General features: G+C 36.7%; 1 protein-coding gene across 5 annotated transcripts in view; it reads left to right on the top strand.

The window, feature by feature from the left end:
- ANK3 (ankyrin 3) overlaps positions 1 to 24,793 on the top strand; it is a 707,231-nt gene that overhangs the window by 670,925 nt on the left and 11,513 nt on the right. For 4 of the 5 annotated variants that reach the window (NM_001204403.2, NM_001204404.2, NM_001320874.2 and 1 more), the window contains 4 exons: positions 2,598 to 2,906; positions 3,174 to 3,264; positions 6,568 to 6,946; positions 19,845 to 19,932. In NM_001204403.2, coding sequence (NP_001191332.1) covers positions 2,598 to 2,906; positions 3,174 to 3,264; positions 6,568 to 6,946; positions 19,845 to 19,913 — 848 coding nt within the window. In that variant the 3' untranslated portion in view covers positions 19,914 to 19,932. The remainder of the gene's footprint in view (positions 1 to 2,597; positions 2,907 to 3,173; positions 3,265 to 6,567; positions 6,947 to 19,844; positions 19,933 to 24,793) is intronic. The other variant, NM_020987.5, reaches the window with a different exon arrangement.

Genomic DNA, 24,793 nt, shown 5'->3' with positions numbered 1-24,793 from the left:
CAAGTATGTGCTTTAGTTATTTAGCGTTCGTTGTTATTTTAACTTCATGAATATGCTGCCATTTATTCTTTGGAAAAACTGCTTGATCTATTGTATATCAAAGGCAGCATAATTTCTAATTCAGTCGGCATACATGTTACTAACAACAATTCCTCTTTCACATTAGCTTAATTTATATAATGATCTTGTCATTTTTTCCTCATTATGTAAATTGTGCTTTCTTCACTGAAATATTAAGAAAAACATAATAAATATCTTCCTATGTTTTTCAAAATAGTCCTGTCTTAGGCTCACAAATGAAAATTTATTCCTACAATGAATTTTTGTTCTGTTTTTGAGACGAAGTCTCGCTCTGTCGCCTAAGCTGGAGTGCAATGGCACGATCTCGGCTCACTGCAACCTCTGCCTCCTGGGTTCAAGCCATTCTCCTGTCTCAGCCTCCTGAGTAGCTGGGATTACAGGCATGCACCACCGTGCCCAGCAAATTTTTTGTATTTTTAGTAAAGATGGGGGTTTCACCACGTTGGCCAGGCTGGTCTCGAACTCTTGACCTCAAGTGATCCACCCACCTCTGCCTCCCAAAGTGCTGGAATTACAGGCATGAGCCACCCCACCCAGCCTCTATAATGAATTTTGAGTAGAAAATTTGATGATGGTGTGGAGGCAGGAATAAGAACTAAGGATATTTTTCTAGTATTCCATTTTTAAACTGGCAAAGTTAGATTAACAAGAGTCACAAACTTCTAATTAACTTCTAATTCTGCATATATTTTGTGGAAAAAATCTTAAAATTCTTAGAAAGTTCCTGCTTATTAAAAAGTTTAAGTCTGGCCAAGCACTGTCTGTCTCTTAAAAAAAAAAAAAGTTTAAGTCAACAAAAGATTTAAAGCATACTTGTTATACATGTAACAAACACAATGGGTAATGAAGTAAAAAGCGGTTCTTTTTAAGTTTATAAAGACCATAGAACCTTGGAAAAACGCTCCCTTTGAGGCCTTGTCTTATATGCAAGGCCATATATTAGTAACCACATGCTTTTTGCACTAGATAAATATAGATCATCTTATCAAATTTTAAATTATTGATAAGTTATAGTTTATACATTCTTCTAATATTCTTTATTGGAAAAAATAGTTGTTAAGTAACTCTAATAAAAAAGATCACCAGAACACAACAGAAGTAGTTGTGTTGAAAGCTTCATTTAATTTGAACATTTTAAAATTGGAATATCCTTAAAATACAGTCAAAAATGAAATGGCTTTTTGTTGCTGTATCTTAATATTTTTAAATTCCTTTTTCAAAATTTCTTAGGGAAATTTAGAAACATGTATATGAAGTAATTTCACTTAGGCAGATTATAAACCTCAGCTAATCTTAGCCAGCTTTTCAACAAGAGTCTGGTTTATAGATGACCATAACTGAAAAATGTTCACTTACCTATAGCAATTTGAGTTTACAACAGCAGCTAAGTTGGTATTTACCTGGGACTGATGGAAAAATTAGACTTTTATTTTGTAGACCAACAATTCAGAAACTGTGGTTTGTTGCTTTTTTCCTGTCTCTCCTCTTCGTTGAACTTTTATGAAACTTCCTTTCCTCACCATGACCAGACCATTGTTGACTTTTCTCTCTGCTGAGGCAGAAAAATGCTTCCATAGTCCATGCAGCAATGTTTAAAACAAGGGATTCGTTCCCCCCTCCCCTTTTGTGTAGGCTGGTTAATAAACTCTATGTTTCATAGCATTGTCGTGAATATTCAGAGTGCTCCCTGCGAATGGTTTTCCTACTATCTCTGTTGTGTATCATTTCTGTTTATTTGATTCGTGGTTCTGAGTGGACCCTACCACTGACTTCACCAAGACCTTCATGTACTCCACAACCCTTTCATCTTGGTCATATCTGTTTTTGTACAACACCCTAAAACTACATGGAGTCTTTTAAACTTGGTCTGTTTTTTCAATCCTTTTCTTAACATCGTTTAAAATTTTTTTCCCAGTGCCACTGCTCTAAAATCTAACAAACAATCATTTCTTTCCAAAGATTAAATCCGTTTTTCTGTGCTATAATTTCATGTGAAAGAAGAACTAGGTTGCTTTGCTCATATGTACAGTTCTTAAAATAAGTTGTAGGTAATTAATATAAAAGTTGTAGGTAATTAATGATAAAAATTGGTTTCTTGTGGCTTGCTGTATTCAGTCCACCACAGTATGAACTTCGCATGCTAAATATAGAAAGATAATAAGTATCTCATGTAATGACAACTAACTTTATATTGGTCTTTATATAAACTTAAATATATAAACTTTATATATTTAGTCTGCATACTTTGGATTAGTGTGCATATTTACTTATTGTATCATAATTTCCAAAACAGAAACAATTGATATCTTAATTAGTATTCTATTTTATTGGAGTTTGCACTAGGCTTTTTATTTCATTGTGTTACATTTAATTGAACTAAACCGATAAATTTATTGACATTAATCTGTAATTCATCATACATTTTTCATGCCTGATATAATTTTAGTCATTCCATGTGTTTTTGTTTGATGTATTCTAATTCATTCCAGTCAGTCCAAATGTACTGTCTTCCATAGGTTATCCTTCCCTTCAAGTGGAACTGGAAACCCCCACAGGGTTGCACTACACACCACCTACCCCTTTCCAGCAAGATGATTATTTTAGTGATATCTCTAGCATAGAATCTCCCCTTAGAACCCCTAGTAGACTGAGTGATGGGCTAGTGCCTTCCCAGGGGAACATAGAGCATTCCGCAGATGGACCTCCAGTCGTAACTGCAGAAGACGCTTCCTTAGAAGACAGCAAACTGGAAGACTCAGTGCCTTTAACAGAAATGCCTGAAGCAGTGGATGTAGATGAGAGCCAGTTGGAGAATGTATGTCTGAGTGAGTATCCTCAATACCTTGGAAATTTGGCTGGGTCCCCAAAAGATGTTAAACCAGCAGAGCCTAGAAAACTAGGAGTAAGCTCTGAGCAGCAGGAGAAAGGAAAATCTGGTCCTGATGAGGAGATGATGGAAGAGAAACTCAAATCTCTATTTGAGGACATTCAACTTGAAGAAGGAGTAGAGTCTGAGGAGATGACAGAAGAAAAAGTACAGGCTATTCTTAAGCGTGTTCAGCAAGCAGAACTGGAAATGTCTTCAATTACAGGTTGGCAGAATGAGACATCAAGTGGAAACCTAGAGTCCTGCGCTCAAGCTCGAAGAGTAACTGGTGGGTTACTAGATCGACTGGATGACAGGTATGGCTGTTTCAAAAAAAGGAAAGTGAACACAGGTTACTTGTTAATAGTTTATCTTAAATACATGCTTTTTAGTGGTGACTTCTTCTAAATTACCATTCTAGTTCTGGGATAAAACCTGCTTTAAAGACCAGTTCATTATGCTAATCTGGAAAGGAAAGTGAATTTAAATTTAAATTTAATTCTCAAAACTGTTGAAATAAAATACAAGAAAATTTACATACATGCCCAAGATTTATACGTTGTCTTTACTTTAGAATACTATTCTTTTCTACTTTATTACTTGTATGATTCTTTTCATATAGCCAGTAATTATTGTTCCTTTAAAATAATGAGGTGGGTGGATCACCTGAGGTCAGGAGTTCAAGACCAGCCTGGCCAACATGGTGAAACCTCATCTTTACTAAAAATACAAAAATCAGCTGGGTGTGGTGTCACGCACCTGTAATCCCAGCTACTCAGGAGGCTGAGGCAGGAGAACTGCTTGAACACATGAGGGTGGAGGTTGCAGTGAGCTGAGATCACACCACTGCACTCCAGCCTGGGTGACAGAGTGAGACTCTGTCTCAAAAACATAAGAAGAATAATGAATGAAAGTCCATGTTATTTAGAAATATAAACATTACTGTTTTTTTCCTAACTGCAAACATAAATATGCTCATTATTAAAACTTAAAATGCAGATTAAACAAATCAATACACCCCATCATCTACCAATAACATTTTGGTGGATTTTCTTCTACGCATGATTTTTTAAATGTCTTAATGTAAAAAGTGCAGAGTAGCAAAAAGAAAAGCCATCCATTCTCCTACCATACTAGGAAAAACTGATTTTACATATCCTTCTATTTTTCCACGAGTCTTATTTTTCATAATTTGAAAGATACACAGTTTTTTACACCAAATAATATTGCCATGATGAACATTTGTCTTTACCCAAAATAATTTCCTGGTCACATTTGTCTTTACCCAAAATAATTTCCTGGTCATGAATTTGGTTAATTCTTATACTGGCCTTGCTCTAGAAAGGTGAAAGTCTAGAATCTGAGACATAGTTTCAAATCCCACCACCATTAGGAATGTAGTTTGTGATTTGGGATGAATCTCTAAGCTCTAAGAATGTCACTCTAATTATCTTTAAATATAAGAATACTACTACCTTCCTTAAACAGATTTATAGATAGAAAAAGAGAGGATGTATCATGTCTACCAAATGACTGACACAAATAGTAATTTCTCAGTAGCACTAGGCATTATTTTTATTTACATACACATTAGACTAAAATATATTTTACTTCAGTGCCAGCTAGTGATTAAATTGGACACAAGAGAACTTATTTCATAACCATATTTTATATTTTTATGTCATTAATAAGCTTCTTGCTCAATAAAAATTCCCAAAGAGGGAGTTTACAAAACTACTTTTGAAAAATTGCAGGCATGAATGAACTTTATCTACAGCCTACAAAAGAGACAGTTGCAAAGAAGACAAACAGTACTAATTTTGATGTCTATGTTCAGATATAGTCACACAATTTATAGTTACATATCAGGGAATAGATATAGGAAAGGTGTTCATCATTATTAAACCGCTGAAATTCCTTGTTTTATATAGGCTCTGCCAGTGAATTATATAGAAAAAACACTAGTGAATCCCCTGGTTCCATAGAAGGAGGAAAATGCCAGTCACTTTGCTCCTGTTATCAGAATATGCAGGGTAGGAGAACGCCGGCAAGCAATGTGGACTGGGGAATAGAAAATTAAACCAAAGTCATAAAGCTATATGTTACAGGATCTTCACAGTATGCTTGGATTGTTTATCCTTACACATAAAGAATAGAGTGTGCTATGGATGTCTTTTAAAAATAAGTATGTTCAGATAATCAGAATCTGATTTAAAGGAATACACACACATATATAAGTATATATTATACATATAAAGCATTGTACTAGTTATTGCCTTCTAGCGGTAATAAACAAAGATGCTCAAAATAATACGCAAGCTACAAAAAAAGTGAAAAATAGTCTATACTGAAACTTGTAAAAAACTTAGAAGTCAATTTAAAAGAAAGCATTGGAAAGGAAAGAGTTTTAATAGTTAAGGGAAAAACAGTTCTCTCAGTAGGTAGAAAAGGGTGTGCAACCCTCAAATCACTAGTGAGATTAGCAGAGGTCAAGAGTAGAGAAAAATGAGATTCAAGTAAAGGTATTAGAGTTGGAAAAGTAACGGCAGGATTCATGACTGAAAACATATACAAAGAATTGGAATTTGGGGTACTTGGGGGAATACCACAGTCTTGACCACAGGAATTTGTTTTGTTCTTTTTTGGAGACAGGGCGCAATTTTTTGTACAGTAGCTCAATCCTTGCTCACTGCAACCTCTGCCTCCCAGGCTCAAGCGATCCTCCCACCTCAGCCTCCCAAGTAGCTGGGACTACAGGCATGCACCACTGTGCCCACTAATTTTTGTAGTTTTTTGGTAGAGACATGGTTTTACCACATCACCCAGGCCGAACTCAAATTCCTGGGCTCAAGGGATCCTTCTGCCTCAGCCTCCCAAAATGCTGGGAATATAGGCAAGAACCACTGAGTCCGGCCAGCAGTTTATTTTTTACTGGTGATAGAGAAGCGTTCTGAAATCTCTTCTCCTTTAAGATTGGTGGGCTTGGAACTCTAGGTATGTCCATGAGCCTTTCAGGATCACTCATCAAGATGATAGAATTCAAGTAGCTGTAGAACTGCAGTTTGTTTATTTAGACGAGAGCATAGCTAGGCAATTTGGCAACTGAGATATGGGGGATGTCTAGAAGCTGTGTAGCACCTCCTGACACCGCACCCATGAGAGCCCTTTACATTTTATTTATTTATTTTGAGACAGAGTCTCACTCTGTCACCCAGGCTGAAATACAGTGGCACAATCTCAGCTCACTGCAACCTCCACCTCCCGGGTTCAAGCAATCCTCCTGCCTCAGGTTCCTGAGTAGCTGGGATTACAGGCACGTGCCATCACGCCTGGCTAATTTTAGTATTTTTAGTAGAGATGGGGTTTTGCCACGTTGGCCAGGCTGGTCTCGAACTCCTGACCTCAGGTGATCTCCCGCCTCAGCCTCCCAAGGTGCTGGGATTACAGGCATGAGCCACTGCGCCCAGCTACATTTTAAATCCAGTGGCCACACTTTTCACACTTTTCTATTTTATGCCTTCAGAAGTAGGCAAAAGACACAGTTCTTAAAACTTTAGAGTTTCTGCAACCTATATTCAGTCATAGTTTGCCATTGTGAATTTGCAAATTTTCTGTTGCAGCCCTGACCAGTGTAGAGATTCCATTACCTCATATCTCAAAGGAGAAGCTGGCAAATTTGAAGCAAATGGAAGCCATACAGAAATCACTCCAGAAGCAAAGACAAAATCTTACTTTCCAGAATCCCAAAATGATGTAGGAAAACAGAGTACCAAGGAAACTCTGAAACCAAAAATACATGGATCTGGTCATGTTGAAGAACCAGCATCACCACTAGCAGCATATCAGAAATCTCTAGAAGAAACCAGCAAGCTTATAATAGAAGAGACTAAACCCTGTGTGCCTGTCAGTATGAAAAAGATGAGTAGGACTTCTCCAGCAGATGGCAAGCCAAGGCTTAGCCTCCATGAAGAAGAGGGGTCCAGTGGGTCTGAGCAAAAGGTACGTCATCTGGTCATCCGGTAGCAGTCATTGAAATGGAAAGTATCGGTGCTTTACTTCTTTGGATTGATCTTGCAGCCGGGGGCCCAAGGTTTTTTACGATTTCTAAATTATAAATGTGTGAAATTGTAGCACTAATGGTGGAGGTAAAGAAAGTACTGAGTTAAACACATAGGTAAAAAAAAAAGTTCCAAGTAAAATGTATGCCATTTCGTTATACCTTCATTCATGGTGCAGGAAAAGGGAATAAGTATCTGTTTAGCCATTTTTAGGAGGGACAAGAACCAGAGAGACGTTAAGTAACTAGTTTAAGACCCAGTATTTTATCTGGGATTTAGGTTTCCTAACTCCCACTCCGTGTTCTTCCTTATGGGAGGAGGATAATCATTCTGATCCTTTCTGGCTCCTTGGCATAAACAGTCTATAGCATCTGACCCATCTAAGTTCTGTTCTGTATGGTCTGTTGTCTGAAAGCGTGTTTTAAAAATTAAAGAGATGAAATTCCAAGCCTAAAATGAGGTGAGTTGACAGCAGTTAGTTAGAAATTTAAAATTAGAAGTATAATTTTTATAATTTATATAAGTTGATGATGATTGTCTTAACATGTATTTCTAATCACTTTAAAACCTCACTGTGATAGATTTGCTTGTTCTTTGTACTTTTGTGGTACAATCTAATAGATTTTTTTCTTTGAGGTTTACTCTATTTTTAGATATTAAAAGTATTTTAAACTGAAATGATGACTCATACGTGGATATAAGAAAATAAAAAGCAGCTCTGTTTCCTACATTTTTTACTGCTTTTTACTCTCCCAATTTTTATGTCTTTTCATCAATTCTGCAATAGACAGAGATTAATAGTAGCACTTGCAGTTTTCGCTGAGACATATCCAGTTCACTGAAGACCCACTTTAGTGTTTTGGGAGGAAAAAACAAGTCTTTTCTGAAATAATGAGTTCAAGATTGATTTGAGGTTTAGGAAGACTTTTAGCAAACTCAATCGCTCAGGAGCTGATTCTCAGCTTATCAGTAATCACATCCTTTCCTATTCCCTTCTGCAGACAATATCTGACTATTTTCAGGCTTGTTAGAAGGGAGAGTAAGAGGAAGTTTAGTTCTAGATCATCTATTTTTTTTTCCCTGTAAGTAAGTTGCTTTGATATAAGATTTGGTGGTGGTAATCAGTTGCTTAAATGATATCCTAAAATAATCTCCAGCTCATTTAATAACTGCCTTCACTAAATTTTTATTAATGGTTTTGTTTTAGTTTTAAGCTCTTTTAAGTCTTTTTCAGGCCTTCTTTAACTCCGTCCTGACAAGTGTGGTTTTGAATACTGATTTCTGTCTTTGACTTGACTTTTAGTATATTTAAGTGGTGTGAGTTTTGGATAAGTTTCCTTTTAAAATGATCCCACAAAATATAGAGAGAAGCAATAACATAGTGGTATTTTTCCTGTGAATATTTATTCTGCAAAAGCCTGTTAAAGTTCTAAAGGCAAATTTCTATACAAACACATATAAACACCGCTGTGTGTGTACATGTGCATATGTATGGGCCACTGGAAAATCATATTGGCCATTGGCATAAAGACGGTTGAAAATTTAGTTTTAAACCTTGAGTGGAAACTTAGCTGAGTTTGTCAGTAATGGAAAATAATTTACCATTAGAAAACATTTTCAGGATTTCTTGTAAATGAGTTTGTGCCTCTGATATTGGTTTCGAGTCCTATTATAATGCAGAAAGACTTCATGACCTAAAAAATCCATAATGGAGTTAAAGCTTCTAGGAGACATGAACCTGACCTCACAAGAAAACCAAAGATGTTTAGGATGTATCGTTTGTGGCTATACCATAGTATAATAGCAACCAACTAGGTCATCTGATGTATGATCTCAGAAAACAGCCCCCTTTTTATCCCCTAAAAAATCAGGTCAAAAGTCCGGGTGCGGCTCCTACACGGATGACTGCCTGCTGTTATAAGGTAAAATTCTGCTATTTTCCACCTGTTTCCATGCAGCAACCCATGGCAAAGAGTACTGAGAAAATTCCATTTGGTTTCCTTGTTTTCCCCTTTACCAATTCCTAGATAATTCACTAAAAGGAATCCTGAGCCTGAGATTCTTCCTCCATTTTCACTTTAAGGTTAGCAGAGATTCCAGGGAAAAAGTGGAAACTGAAACAATGACCAAATGGCCACTTTTTCTTTATGTAAGGGGTTGGCCTCACATGATTTTTTTGTAGGATTATGCTATAATCACCTCTAGGTTTGTTGTTTGTGTTTGCTTTAACATAGATGCTCTTCTACTTTTGAATTCACCCAAGTGAAAACCTTTCCTCAACTTATGATTCCATGTACAGATAATTCAGATTCAGTTTTCCCTTTTGCCTCATCCAACCCATTAATCCTGGAATGCTAATAATTCTTTTCTTTCGTCAACACAGATTCCTTTTACCTCTTTCTGACTTCTTGAGCCTTTGCAAAGCTTCCTTCCACAATACTTAAATCATTCTAAGTCTCCTAAATTTACTGTCCTTTACTGAAAAATTTAAAATAATAATAGCAAACTTAGTTCAAGTTCTTACTCCTTGTAAGGATAGTGGCTATGATTTTCTTTTAAAACCATATTATTCAGTGGGGTGGTTTGTTGAGGTGAAATTTCCTGTAAAGTCAAGGCTGATAGTACTGTTTAACATTTTAAAATACTTGTCAAGTTTACTGTTGATGAAAAAGATGGCCTAGTTTATTATCTATACAACTAACATTTCATAAAGCATTTTATCTAACACCTGTACCTCCTATAGCAGTTTTATTTTTTTTTTTAAACAAATACTGGAATTCATTTTTCCAGCGGATGTTAACTAAATTCTGTCTCTGGGACTATTAGATTTGAGGTAATGAATTAACTTCAAAGATAAAGTACCAGAATTATTTTCATAGTTCCACCATTAAAATTTAGAAATTTAACCACTCAGTAAATACTCTTCCCCATGGCATCTAAGTGAAAGCTAAAGATATTTTCCCCTTCAAATTATGAACTATTTGCCCCTTGGTAGTTTTTCCAGATTCCCACCTTTATTGCCTAAAAATTAATATTTTGTGCAGCAACTATATTCTTGTCTGTGAAAGGTATTCTATTTTATATTCTAATTTCATTATCAGTTCTTTAAAAAAAGATTTCAAGCTTTCATACATTTATTCCTTCATTAAATTCTTTCTCAGTACCAGTTATGTGTTAGGTACAAATTATGCTGATATTAATCTCTTGAATATAAATATATGTGCCAAAATATGCTAATATAAATTCTTTACTTGTTGTTGTTGTTGTTGTTGAGACGGAGTCTTGCCCTATTGCCCAGGCTGGAGTGCAGTGGCGCGATTTCAGCTCACTGCAACCTCTGCCTCCCAGGTTCAAGCAATTCTCCTGCCTCAGCCTCCTAAGGAGCTATTTTTTGTATTTTAGTAGAGACAGGGTTTCACCGTGTTGGTCAGGCTGGTCTCGAACTCCTGACCTCAAGTGATCCACCCGCCTTGGCCTCCCAAAGTGCTGGGATTACAGGTGTGAGCCACCGTGCCCAGCTAGATTCTTTACTTTTTAATAAAGTTCAAAATAGCTTTTAATAAGGTTGTCAAATTTGACCAAAATTTCATAGAAGTCCAAAATATTATGCCTCTTTCTGTAGATCAAATGAAATATGGCCCAATTTACAAGGGTATACACCTTCATGGTAGATGAATATAGATTTTAAACTAGTTTTAAAAGGAATATGAATGATTTAATTGTAGTTTCTGCTGCCAAAAAGTCTCCATAATTATTTTTTAATAACTTATAACTACCTTGATCTTTACCTGTACACACACACACACACACACATGCACAGAGTAATTTCACTTAGAATCCTGGTCAAAAATTTTCTTCCACTTAAATTTTTTTTAAGACTCTCACAAATATACATCATGGTTTTCTTTAGTCGGCAAAAAAAAAAAAAAAAAAAGAAGAAAACATCAAGTAAGTGTAATTCTTTCTTGATTTCCCTTCTCAGAATGTCTTTTATTTTAAGTGTGATGGTAAAATTATACTAAAAATGCATTTGTCAGGACTTGAAAGACAGTGAGAGTGATTCAAGCTCAGAGGAAGAGCGGAGAGTCACTACCCGAGTTATTCGCCGGCGTTTGATTATAAAGGTATCCTGTAGCTGGATCATTATGTGGCATTGCTCTACTATTAGAAACTCCTTCCTTGTGGTTGTAGAAACTCCTTCCTTGTGGTTGTGAAATTTCAGCATGCTTGATAATGAAATGGCTTTGTGTAATTTTTTTGCACCCTTGAAAGCTTGTAAAAACAACAACCAAAAAGAAAAGAAGCCATGTTGCATGGTATTCTGTATAGGCCTATTTGATATGTGGCGGTTGTAGTTTTATTTGAGAATTCTTGGCATTTGTATCCTGCTTTCCTTGAAGAAGTGTTATGTGAATGAGCAAAGATTCTGTCTTGGTGACACAGTAGTTCATATCAAATGAAATGTTTAATTGAAACCTTAGAAACTGTAACAAGGTATGAGGCACGATAAAGAAGAAAGAGAATGAAAGAATTAAAAGGCTTCCTTCTCAGTCTCAAATTCCTACTGCCTTAAGAATTTTTAAATTAAAACCAGTTCTTCATAAGCAATCAGTGGCTGAGAATTTGAGGTTATAACCTGGCATGGATATATGTGACACAATGCAAGTCAAGTAAAAAAAAAAAAAAATCTGAAATAGGTGTTTGTTTAACTTTACTAACACACAAGAAAAAAATCAAGCTGCATTTTTAAGTATAGGAGTCAATTTAAAAAAAAAAGGAAAATAGAATTCTTCCCTATTACGGCACAATTGAAAACACTATTAATAAATATTCTGTCTTTCCTTCACAAAGGTCTGTTGAAGCACTTACCTTTTGCGTAGTAAGGTTCCACAGAATGCTTCTTGTAGTCTCCCCCTTGTCTTCATTACTTCGTCATCAGATCTTTCTAAGGGTTAGAATAATTGAGTTCAGAGAACTAGAAAGCCATTTTCAATGCGCAGACTTTTGAATATGATCCAAATAACTTGAGGCTTCTTGGTTACTGCCCTAGAGAGAAAGAGGAAGAGAATATCTATTGAAAACCATTTATCAAACTTAACCAATCCCAAAGTGTCAAGAGACCCAACAGAAAGCACAGAAGTTGGCACAGGTGTCCAAAATTTCTTAATCCTGGTGCTTTTCACTTTTCATGAAGAAACTCCACCAAATCTGCCCTAATACAGTTTTTCTAAGACTCTGGAAACATTAGGGAAGAAAATAAATCGTTGTCTAAATTTTGAGTTATCCTGCAAATCAATTGTAAGCTCAATAGGGTTCCTTTAAAAACCATGAATCACTTCTTTGAAAATTCCATGTATATAAGCAAGCCAAATTACTTATTGCTGTCTAGCACATTTGCAAGTATTTAACCTGCTATCAATAAAATCCTCATAATCAGTCACCTCACACATGTTCTCTGGGTTGGGGTGGGGGAATGCTTGATTCTGTTTTTCTGAGTTTTTGCTATTCTCATAATCAGTGTCTTCAAGATATGATATTTTAAAGTGAAAGGTCTAGAAAAAGCACATAGTGCTTCGAACTTGTCTTTTATGCTTAACATATCACATACTAATGTTACATCTAAATCCACCACATTCCTTTATAATAGCTGCCCATGATAGAAGTTGACTTTCTTCTATCCAGGACAAAAGAAAACAAATATAGCCATGCAAAAAAAGTGGAAGGCGGGGATAAAGAAGTTTTTCTCTGAGAAAACAAAAACAATAACTTCAAAACCTCTCAAATCAATAAGGGCTATTTCCTTTGGTCTCCTAGAATTCTAGATATGCACCAGCAAGTTAGCTATTAAGTAATTTTCTTAGAGTAAGTTATCTTTGTTTTTCAGCTTAAAATATGATTATAACATATTAACATATTTATTAAGAACTTAGGTTTAAAAGACAAAAATCCACTATAATGTTGTAGGTTTCATAAAAACAGGGGAGTCCGTATTCTCCCCAAATACTTTTTTTTTGAGACAGAGTCTTGCTCTGTGGCCAGGCTGGAGTGCAGTGGTGTAATCTCGGCTCACTGCAACCTCCACCTCCCCAGTTCAAGCAATTCTCCTGCCCCAGCCTCCCAAGTAGCTGAGACTACAGGCGTGCGACACCACACCCGGCTAATTTTTGTATTTTTAATAGAGATGGGGTTTCACCATGTTGGCCATGATGGTCTCGATCTCTTGACCTTGTGATCTGCCCACCTTGGCCTCCCACAGTGCTGGGATTACAGGCGTGAGCCACTGCGCCCAGACCCATTACTTCTTGAAGTTAATGTAATTTTAGAGAGATTGAGTGAAGTCATCAGAGAATAGGTTTTATAACTGAGGAAGGCATTGTATAAACAATAGGATCATTCACAAACAAGCTTTGAGAGATATCTTTCATATGAGATGGAAAAACCAAAGGCTAAAAAATAGTTATAATCATCATTGGAAGCTATAGGTATAACAAAAACACTTTATAAATTATTTTTCTGTTCAGATTTTTGGGGCAATTGCAAAGAGTCACACTTCTGTTGCTTTTCTCTTTACTCCATATGTTGCTATCTATCTTTCTAATGGAAAAGAGCTTGAGGACTATAATAGTATATGGTGAATATGACATGGGAACCATCTCTTGTCAAAAACATAAAATGGGAATGTAGTACCTAAATGGGTCATTGAGACTAAAATTACTGTGTTTCCAAGATCTCAGAACTGAAGATTGGAGATAAATTTATTTACTCAAAATCACACAGCCAGACAGCAGCAGCTCTGGGACTAGAACCTAATCCCTAGCCCTCTAGTGAAGTGCTTTTTCCTCAATACTATACAATTGGACCTCCATATCTGGGCATTCCACATGCACAAACTCAACCAACCTTGAGAAAATAAAACAATAAACAGTAGAAGTAAGAAGCAATATAGTATAACAATTACTTACATAGCATTTACATTATATTAGGTATTATAAGTTATCTAGAGGTGATTTAAAGTATATGGGAGAATATGTGTAGCTTATATGCAAATACTGCACCATTTTATATCTGGGACTTGAGCATCTGCAGATTTTGCTATCTGCAGGGGTCCTGGAACCAATCCCTGTGGATACTAAGGAACAAGTGTATTCTCTTCCAGAACAAATGAAAAAGTATTCCTTTTTGCTAGGCTAAATCAGGTATTTGACCATTCAGATCTTTTCAGCAGCACAGAAGAGGGCAGCATTGGGCTGTCATTCCTGGGAACCATTTGATGGGGCTGGAATGCTGGGAATTTGACTTACCTCATGGATGCTGTCCAAACCTGGACTGAACCAGCATAGTTAACACTGTTTGCCATAGTAAGCCCCCTAGCACTTAGTATCCCAGTTCTGAAAACTAGTCTGGGGTGGTTCCATCCCTCCCAGAGCTAGCTCTGGCTGGGAAGTATCTCCCAGAGGAAGCAGTATGTATGCTAAGCATTGGATTGCCAAAAGTCTGGGCAAATCTGTCTTCTTAGAATTCCATTTGTATAATAAATGAGGTGACGGCGATTTTTCTCTTTACTTTCAAAGTGGATCCATTCTTTTTCTATGAAGTTTTAACCTTTTTTTTACATTTAATGTTTTCAAACTCCTATAGAATGAGTCAAGTCAACAAAATCTCCCATTTGTCATGGGACTTAAATGAATGTGCTGATAAAATTCTGATCTCTATACAATTTGATAATATACAGTGGTTTCAAATGCTTAGAAGCAATTTATGTTACTAACCAGTCGTGAGTTTACCTTATTAGCTTAGCAAATCCAGTAACTGCAAAGGTAAAAAACTGTAAACCAACACACAACCAAACTATTGTGAAATTTCATAAAATTCAAATAACTGAATTTTTACTATATAGTACAACTGTATTTTTATTTCAATTTTTCAACATTTTTACTGGTTTTCTAAATAAGAGCTTACATGTATGTTTCTGCTAACTCAGGCAGTTCAAACGTATGGTAAGTTCTATCCGTTCATTCCATTTCCCAGAGGTAACCACTCTTCACAAGCTTCAGATTGTTTTTACATACATATACAAATATGTGTGTAAAATATGTAGGTTTCGTACTATTCATATTGCTTAGTATTTGCTTTTTGTAAAATATATCGCATCAATCCTATTTTTGGACAATTCAAGTTTTAACGTATCCATCAAAGCAAATTGGTACATTTCATATTGTCACTCTTCCATTTTATTCAAAAATTCTAAGAGAAATAAAAGTTATAAAATGCAGTGCTTCTAGCAGGAGTCCAGAGGGAAGTACAGTTAATTTTCATTAATACCGTCACCAGAGGTGAAAATGTAACACCACATGTGCTATAATTTTCCTTTATAATGGTTGGGGGGAAGGGAAGGGAGGTTGCCAGAAATGATGTTGTCAACAAGACCACGGGGACAATTTTGTTTACTTAAAAATACTAAGTGTTTTCAAGAACTTTAAAAACCTCATTGAGGCCGGGCGCGGTGGCTCAGGCCTGTAATCCCAGCACTTTGGGAGCCCGAGGCGGGTGGATCACGAGGTCAGGAGATCAAAACCATCCTGGCTAACACGGTGAAACCCCGTCTCTCCTAAAAAATACAAAAAATTAGCCAGGCATGGTGGCGGGCGCCTGTAGTCCCAGCTACTCAGGAGGCTGAGGCAGGAGAATGGCATGAACCCGGGAGGCGGAGCTTGCAGTGAGCCAAGATCGCGCCACTGCACTCCAGCTGGGGCAACAGAGCGAGACTCCATCTCAAAAAAAAAAAAAAAATTGAGATTACTTTCTCCCATTGAAGAGAGGCCTTAGAGCTCTCTCTTAGGTAACATTTGGTCTCTAATATAGTTGACAGAATTAAAGATGGATAAATTTTTTAAAAATGTATTTTATGACTCCCTGCTGTCTTTCCTATCTATTTAATCAACTCCTATCTAATCTATTCCTCCTATTCATTTTGGCTTATTATTTATAAATAGGTTTTGCTTTTTGTAAGGCTATTAATCTAAGTCAATGAATCTAAGTCAATGAATACATACTTGTATGTATTCACTATGCTTATACATATGCTTACTTCATAGTCCTTTCAGAGATTGTCCAAACAATTCAAAAATTAACTGACATCTTTTCCCACAAAAAGATTCATTCAGTACCTGCCCAATAGGATACCATTTTAGGGATTTTCCTGGGTTCTTTAATTGTCTATCACTCAAAGATGTGTACATTTCCAAAAGTTAGCTCAAAAATATTTGTCATTCGTGTTTAAGCTATAAGGAAAACTTTCATTACTTTTTATTGGCTTTTTTTGCTGTCCTTATGACTTTACTTTTAAAATAAAATTTTGGGTTTTCTCCAAACATTTGAAACCACCAACCATAGAAAATACAAATAACACTGCCATTAAAAACGTGTTGCAAATTTTAGTGTATTTACACAAGACCTCTACATTTTTCCAGTTTTTCTCCCCTCTCTTCACTGCGCTGATTCAAACTTGTCATAAGCAAGATTGGAGATGCACTAAACAAGATCAAGCAACACCTTGTTTTATTTTCATTCCACCTATACCACAGTGAGGAAAAACAAGTTAAATGTCCCGCCCATTGTCATGAACTATGCACCCACAAACTGTAAGAACACAAAGTCACTTTGTAATAAGAAAAAAAAAAAATGAGAACAAAACTTTGCTAGCAAAACAATAGTGTTCTAGTCTTTATTCTGTTATTTTGAACCAGAACTGCCTTTCTACTGATTGTGACATATGGTCACATGACATATGGCAATCATAGAATGTTCTCACCATTGGCTGGCACTGACCAAATTATCAGAGCCACTATCTTTTCCATGCCAGTAACACAAAGAGTTAGAATCTCACTTTTCCAGGAAGGCAGCTGTTTTTGTGATTGGCCATTTTCCCTAAAACAAAACAAAACCACATCTGTACACTGCCAAGCAGCATTATCCATTTCACCTTTTCAGTAAGAAGTTTGACTGACAGATCAATAGGACCCTGGAATACTAGTCCATCCTTAAGATCTTTATCCTTGTTCTCCCGAACTATAAGTGGCACAAATCTTAAGTTAAACACAAATGAAGGTAATGTATTGCAGATATGGTCCTACTTCTGCTGAGTAGTTTGTCGTGTTATACAATCATAGAGCTAGTGGAGAGATACTATGGAGCCATCTAAATCCACCAAGCTGTCTATGACAGGAAAATAGGCGCCCACCCTGGAGAGTTAAGAATGTATTCTATTTTTAAAACTCATAGTGAGACCTTTCAGAGTTTCCCCTCCAAAATTAGATAACAAATCAGAAAGCCAGATTCTAACTCTGTATTACTGGAATGTAAAAGATAGTGACTCTGATAATTTTGTCAATGCCAGCCAATGGTGAGCACATTCTATGACTGCCATATGTTACAGCCAATAGAGATGCAGCAGTTCTGGTTTAAAAATGACAGAATAAAGACTAAAACACTATTGTTTTGTTCTCATTTTTTTTTATTACGAAACAACTTTGTGTTCTTATAGATTGTGGGTGCATAGATCAGAAGATATCATCTTAAATTCCCTTGGTATTGATTTTATCTATTTTTTTGCCTATGGCAATGAAGATACTTCAGTGTATAAACTATGTACTATATCCGACACAATTATTCTCACTTAAGAGCTATGAAAGATTCAGTCTTCAAGATTCTCTCTGTACCCTCAACTTTTCTCATAATCTTTCAAAAAATGTGTGTATTATCTTTAGTGAATGAATTTTTAAATAAACCAGAGTGATAAATATCATGCCCAAACTAAGGTACTATCTTAGTTCAAGTTAGATAAAACTCAATCCACAAAAATCTCTAGAGATTCGGTAGAACTAATGAAGAAACAGTGCTTAAAGTGAGACGATCTAATCAGAGCTCTAATCCTTGGCTAAAATTTGTCTCAACATATGAAGCCTTTCGGTTTACAGTGTGTAACTGCATCCTATAATTATGTATTTTCAAATTCTTCCTTCTGGAATCTGTTGCTAACCATCACGCTTATACATACTTGAGGTTTAATGCTTGAATGTTGTTGACTGCTAAATAACTGTCAGTGAAGTCAGCCTTTTTCCCTTGCACTGGAGTAGCAAGTAGAATTTACAACTTATTTCTCTAAAATTCCAGAGCATGTGTGTGGTGTTTGGAGTAGTGTGGAGATTTCTCCATCTAGTATGTTGCTAATCTTTATGCCACATCCTTTAGGGAGAGGAAGCAAAAAACATTCCTGGTGAATCTGTCACAGAAGAACAATTTACTGATGAAGAAGGCAACCTCATCACCAGAAAAGTAATCATCATTCAGATTTCATGCTTCTCTTGGAATTTAGATTTTCTGCATTAAAAACTCTGCTACTTTTGTGCTGTAGTGTCATCTCCTAAAACAGAAAAATCTCTACTTTTCACCATTACTTCCTACAGATCACTCGGAAAGTATTAAGACGAATTGTTATCCCACAAGAGAGAAAACGTGATGATGTGGTAATGGAGAGGGATTGCCAAAGAGAATGTAGAGGACAAAAGCTTTGTGCACTCCCTAGAAATTGCTGCTAACAGGCTGGCATCTGCAGTGTGGCAGCTTGAAGTGTTTGCTGCTTTTGACATCTTATGCATTTGATCAGGGTCAAAGAAAAATACTTTTCTTCCTAACATTCTTTGTTACATACTTTTTTTTTTTAACTGTCTTCAGAGTTTTCACAAAGATAAGGTCATTTATAGGGGACAGAATGTGCCAGTTTGAGGGAGAAAGAAGATAAAACCTTCACCATTCACCACCAAACCTCAGAGCAGTGCTTCAGCCCCACCCAGGGCTTGGCCTTCAGCAGAGTGTCTGTTGGGACAGGGGCGGAGAGCACTCCAAAAGCACAGGCTTTAAAAGTTAGAATGGCAAAAGGCTCAGTTCAAGATCTGCACATCGGATCCATACATTTTCTCTTTCCAGTATGTTCTGCAGGGAAATCTGAATTCCTCCATCTTCGTCTGAGGAGGGGGTTCCCCTCTTTGGGTTTATAACAGCCCATTTCCAATGTGCCAGTTAAAGAATCCCTCCAGTCAACCCCTTTCTCTCAGAGAAAACATCTCTGGTTATTTTTCACTTGTTTCTCAGATCTCTACCCTTTTCAATTTAAAAATAGAAACTTCAATAGACAATGTTTACATTAGAAAAAGTAAACTGAAAATTTATCAGAAGTACAAATCACAAAATTGAAAAGGCTTCATTTGTTTTCTGTTAAAAATTGGGTAAAAACTGAGTATTTGTGCCACAACCTTGCTCTCGGGGAACTGTATTCCTGATGCTCAGTGAAGAGAGGATTTGTTTATGCAAAATAGATGCCTTCTTGGTCTGACAGTAAGAGGAAGTCATTGGCAATTCCACTAACTTAAAAAAGTCCCTCAGATCAACAGCATTTCCATGGATTAGTACTTAACTAAGAAGTCTGAATCTCATTGCAACAGATTGTTTACAATTCTGCTGCCTTGTGAGCTGTGGTGCTGATTTCTTTTAGCTTACTATAGGAAATGGATAGGCTGCTCGTTATTTTGATTTATCACTAACTTACTGAATTATTGTCAAGTACAATTATGTTGTATTCATTTTGACAGTGCTCTCTAGCTTGCTTGATGATGCTAAACTGTGTGGTTAAGCTAAAGATTGTACGTATTTTTGGACATGAAGTGACAAAATGCTTTAAACTGTTTCGCTTGTCCTAATCCAGCCTCCAAGGATCAGAATGGACTGCTTTATAACTAACACTGTTTCACTGTGAAATCTTAATATGTACACTCCTTTCAAAGCAGGGAGAAGGTTTTAAGGTGAAAACGAAGAAAGAAATCCGGCATGTGGAAAAGAAGAGCCACTCGTAACAGCGAACGGTCAGTCAAGGTGAGGTGTGTTCATATCAACAACAGTAGGACTTAAATTCCTGTGAAACTTATATTTTTCACTAAATAAGTGATTCTGATTTTCCCCGTCCTTTCCTTTTCACTGAATTTCAGCTTTGAAAATCAAATACGAAGTTGTTCAAGTTCTGTTGATGTTTGCATATATACACACAATGAAACTTGACTTCGGTTTCACAGTCCATTAACTTTCTCCTCACAAATTAGGCAGCAATTTAATTGTAAATTATGTTTGCAGAAGCAAGTATAAATAGTGATAAGAGTAAAGGCTCACTATGAAATACAATAGCCTTATACAATCTAACAGGAAGACTATTTGGCAACGAATACTTCTTACAGTTATACTCAGAGTTTTATTGATCCAGACTTTCACCATTTTAGCAGAACGGCATCTGAGGATATCATTTTGGTTGAAATAAGTGACTTTCCAAGTCTAAATTAAATGACTGACATATCTATCTGGTGTTTTATAGAAACAAAAGGAAAAAATAGGAGGTTAATGGCACTGTTGTTTGTTTTTTAAGTTAAATGTTTAGTAAGTGAGCTTTGTTTACATTTGCCTGGACTTTTCTTTACAGATCACGTTATTTTCCTTTTACATTGTCCTATTTATTTCTACTTAGCTACAATTAGGCCATATGGGGTGAAAAAGAAAGTCCTCTATAGTCTGTAAAGTAAAGCAAAATCACTTCCTTTAGTTCACCACCAGTCTTCTTAGCCCCACAGGTTAAAGTAGTAAGAAAGAGCAAACAGATTCTAGTTTTCATTTTCATGCATCTGCTGTTCCCTGCTTGCCAGAATACTGGTATGCAGAGTGCTGAGGGAAGGAACTGGGAAGTAATCTAGTTTCACTGCCTGTAATTTTATGTGTGAGCTAACTAAGGCCCAGGTAAGTTCTCAATTCTCCCTCCCCGCAAGCCTTATCATTTGTTTATTCAGTATAACATTTACTTCATTTCTTTCTGTGAGACTTTCTCACATGACCATTTAATGGCATTGAGAAGACCACTCAGAACTGCAGAGCATTCTGGAAAGAATGTTTACTACACATCCTCTTCCCAGTGTTTCATGCGTGCTCTTCAGGCAATCCTCACAGCCAACCCTCTTGGATAAGGCCTTCATCATCCCCATTTGATAGATGAGGAAACAGGCCCAAAGTGGTTAAATAAATTGCCCACGCTCACATAAGTAAAAAGTGGCAGAACTAGGATACAAACCCGAACAAGCTGCCTCCAGTGTCCACTTGTTTGCCAGAGACTTAACCTGGGTCGGAGGTGACGGGGAAGGTTTCCTTGAGAATATGATGTTTGAGCTGAATTTTAAAGAATGAGTAGCAGTCAGTCATCCCTGTAAGGATTCTGGGCTGTACCCGAAAAGCAGTGGGAAACCACTAAGGGATTTTAGGCAAGAGTGTGGTATGATCCAGTTTATATGTTCTGCATCACTCGCTCTAAATGCAGGGTAGTTGTTAATGAATTGGAAGGGGCACTGGTGGATGAACAGAAAACCTGTTGAGAGACTATTGCAGAAGCTAGCTTGGCAGTGAGGATGGCTAAATAAAAAAATTTCAACACAACTTGGTTTTTATTGGATGAGAAGGATCCAAGATGAGAAAATGAAGGATGACATCAATGTAGCAGTAGCTAGAATGAACCCACTCCTATGCATGTCCTACTGCTGAACCTGGTGAAAGACTTCTCCCTATAGCAGATCCACAAAATACTAAGCATGAGTTTGTTATCTTGAATTCGTCTATTTATGCAATTCTAAGTGAAAAATGAAACGAAAGTAGAAAAGAGGTCAGTCATCTGTAGTATGCCCCTAAAGTTTAGCAGCTTGTTCAATCATATTCTCAGGCTCCTAGTGGAAAAGAACCAAAAGGGTTACCTACACCAGCTGAGCCATTTTCTACAATGACATATTCCTAATACCTGTGAATAAATGACACCAAAAAATATGACAGTGCTATGCTTCCAGGGTCCTTTAGACTGTGTTGATTTAAAAACAGCTTGCTCACTAAATATAAAGAAAGTTTTAAAATTTTAAATAATCATCCTATAAAGAAGTTGTCAGACTCACTTGCTGCACCACTCAAAGGAGAGAGAACGTTGGGTAGATTCATATGAATGTGAAAATAACTTCAGCTAAAGCAAACAATGTGTCAGATTGAAAGAACAGTGACTTGACAAGCCTAATTTTACTTTCCAGGTAGTGTTTACCTTCCGTAAGTGAACTTAGGGAATGAGTCCAAGAATACTGCCTGGAATTCCAGGAGACTGAATGTATGTGCTCCGGAAAAATCAATTTGCAAATATATTGAGAGTTTTTATAGTCATGCTGGCTGCCTCTTTAAAAAAAAAAAAAGAAAACTAAGCAAGTAGAATGCTGCCAAATATGACTGAGTCTTAGATGGTAACATCAAAATTTGTATTTCCCATTTTAGAAGCAGTTGAATTTTGAGCTATCTGAACTCTGCCCCTGCTTTTCTTTAATATTGAGTCATAGCCATCCTATTTTTAAAGAGAAAAGCCAATGACTTTCAAGATTTGTACATAGTATATAGTGATTTATAGTTTACAAAGTACTTTTACATTTTTGTCTTATTTAATCCTTCCAACAAGCCTTAAGGCAAGTCAGGCAATTTTGCTTGTGACCTTTTACAGATGAGGATATTAAGGCTCGGACAGCTCAAATGATGTTTCTGCCTTCACACAGTTTATGACTGGTATAGCTAAGACTTGAAGTCAAGATTATTGATTCTCAGCCTAATGTTCTGTTACACTAAGCTATCTCTCTAAAATTATTTACAAAGAATAATAACAATCATCTTCTGTGAAATGATTGCTATGTGGCAGGCACTAGGTAAATAATTATATATATAACCTTAGGAAATCCCCAAAACAATGCTATAAGGTAAATACAACTATCCCCCAACCCCTTTTTTAAAAAAATAGGGAAACTGAGGTTCAGAAAACTTAAATGATTTACTCAAGGTACTACAGCTAGGGAGCAAAAGAATAAAATTTGAACTTATCTAGAACATAGATCTTAACTACTACTTATATTAATAAATAGTATTTGATCATTAAAGACCCAAAAGCAAATTCTGAATCAAATACAAGCACAAAAGCAACCTGTCGTAAATTTCTTCTTACTCTACACAGTGAAAGGACTCATAGTTTTTTATTCTTTTTTCTTAAACAAAGCAAGACTTCATTTCTAAATCTCTAGATTTTTACTTCAAATACCAAAAAAGGGGGCTGATTTGTGAGGTCATGGCAAGGGAAGATCCCCAGATAAAAGGTCATTTAAGCCATGGCAAAGACTTGCATGACACATACTGTATTCTAAACCTCCTCTAGGAAAATGCTCAGGTTCTCACAGCCATGTGTAAGCCAAGAGTGGCAAGAGTGCCCATGCTTGTCAAGGCAGCCCTTTACCTGAGGCCAAAAAGTTAACCCATTTCATTTATTTCTTCAAAGAATATTTGGCCATCTGCCTGGCTTAAAGTGGAAGGACTAGATATACAATAGTGAATAAATGCTTCATGGTCCCTGTCTTTCTGGATCTCCCAGTCTGCAATGGGAAAAAGAAATGGGACAAATGTTTAAACACTGAAAATACAAAGTCCAGGATCCAATGAAAGAATGTAAGAATGTACTTAGACTTTGGGGCTAGGGAAGGTCTCTCTGAAATCATGACATTTAAGCTAAGACCTCATCAGTGGCACCAATTATGAAAATAATGGAGAAGAAGAGGACCCCAAGCAAAGGGTACAACATGTGCAAGCACCCTGAGGTGGGAAAAGGCCTAACATAGTTGAAGAAATGATAGATCAGTGCATGATCTTTCATTTCTTCAAATATGTAAGATTGGTGTGTGATCTTTCATTTCTTCAAATATGTTAGGTGAGCTGGTGGTAGGTAAGATAGGCACAAGATAACATTAAAACACACACACACACACCATCATTCAGAGCCCTGTAGGCCAGAGGAAAGGATTTAGATTTCATTCTAAAGGGAATTTAAATTCCTTATAGATGCTCGATGTTAGACTTTTGTCAGATACATAGTTTGCAAATATTTTCTCCCATTATGTAGGTTATCTCTTTATTCTGTTGATAGTTTCTTTTGCTGTGTAGAAGCTCCTTAATTAGGTCCAGTTTGTCAATTTTTGCTTTTTACAAGCAAAAAACCACCCACCCCATTAACAAGTGGGCAAAGAACATGAACAGACACTTTTTGTTTCTTCTTTTATTTTTGAGACAGTCTCACCTGTTGCCCAGGCTGGAGTGCAGTAGCACAATATCGGCTCATTGCAACCTCTGCCTCCTGGGTTCAAGCAATTCTCATGCCCCAACCTTCTGAGTAACTGGGATTACAGGCACATGCTACCATGCCCCGCTAATTTTTGTATTTTTAGTAGAGACGGGGTTTCACCATGTTGGCCAGGGTGGTCTCAAACTCCTGACCTCAAGTGATCCACTCACCTTGGCCTCCCAAAGTGCTTGAATTACGGGCGTGAGCCACTGTGCCCAGCCACGCACAGACACTTTTCAAAAGAAGACAGGCATGTGGCCAACAAGCATATGAATAAAAGTTCAGCATCACTGTTCATTAGAGAATTGCACATTAAAACCACAATGAGATACCATGTCACACCAGTCAGAATGGCTATTATTAAAAACTCAAAAAATAACAGGTGCTGGCAAGGTTGTGGAGAAAAGGAAACATTTATACACTATTGGTGGGAGTGCAAATTAGTTCAACCATTATGGAAAGTGGTGTGGCAATTCCTCAAAGAGCTAAAAACAGAACGACCGTTCAACCCAGCAATCCCATTAT

The sequence above is a fragment of the Homo sapiens genome, chromosome 10 (genome assembly GCF_000001405.40).
Source record: "Homo sapiens chromosome 10, GRCh38.p14 Primary Assembly".
Taxonomy (NCBI): Eukaryota; Metazoa; Chordata; class Mammalia; order Primates; family Hominidae; genus Homo; species Homo sapiens.
The sequence above is the reverse complement of the archived record's forward strand: the minus strand, read 5'-3'. Positions and strand labels throughout refer to the sequence as shown.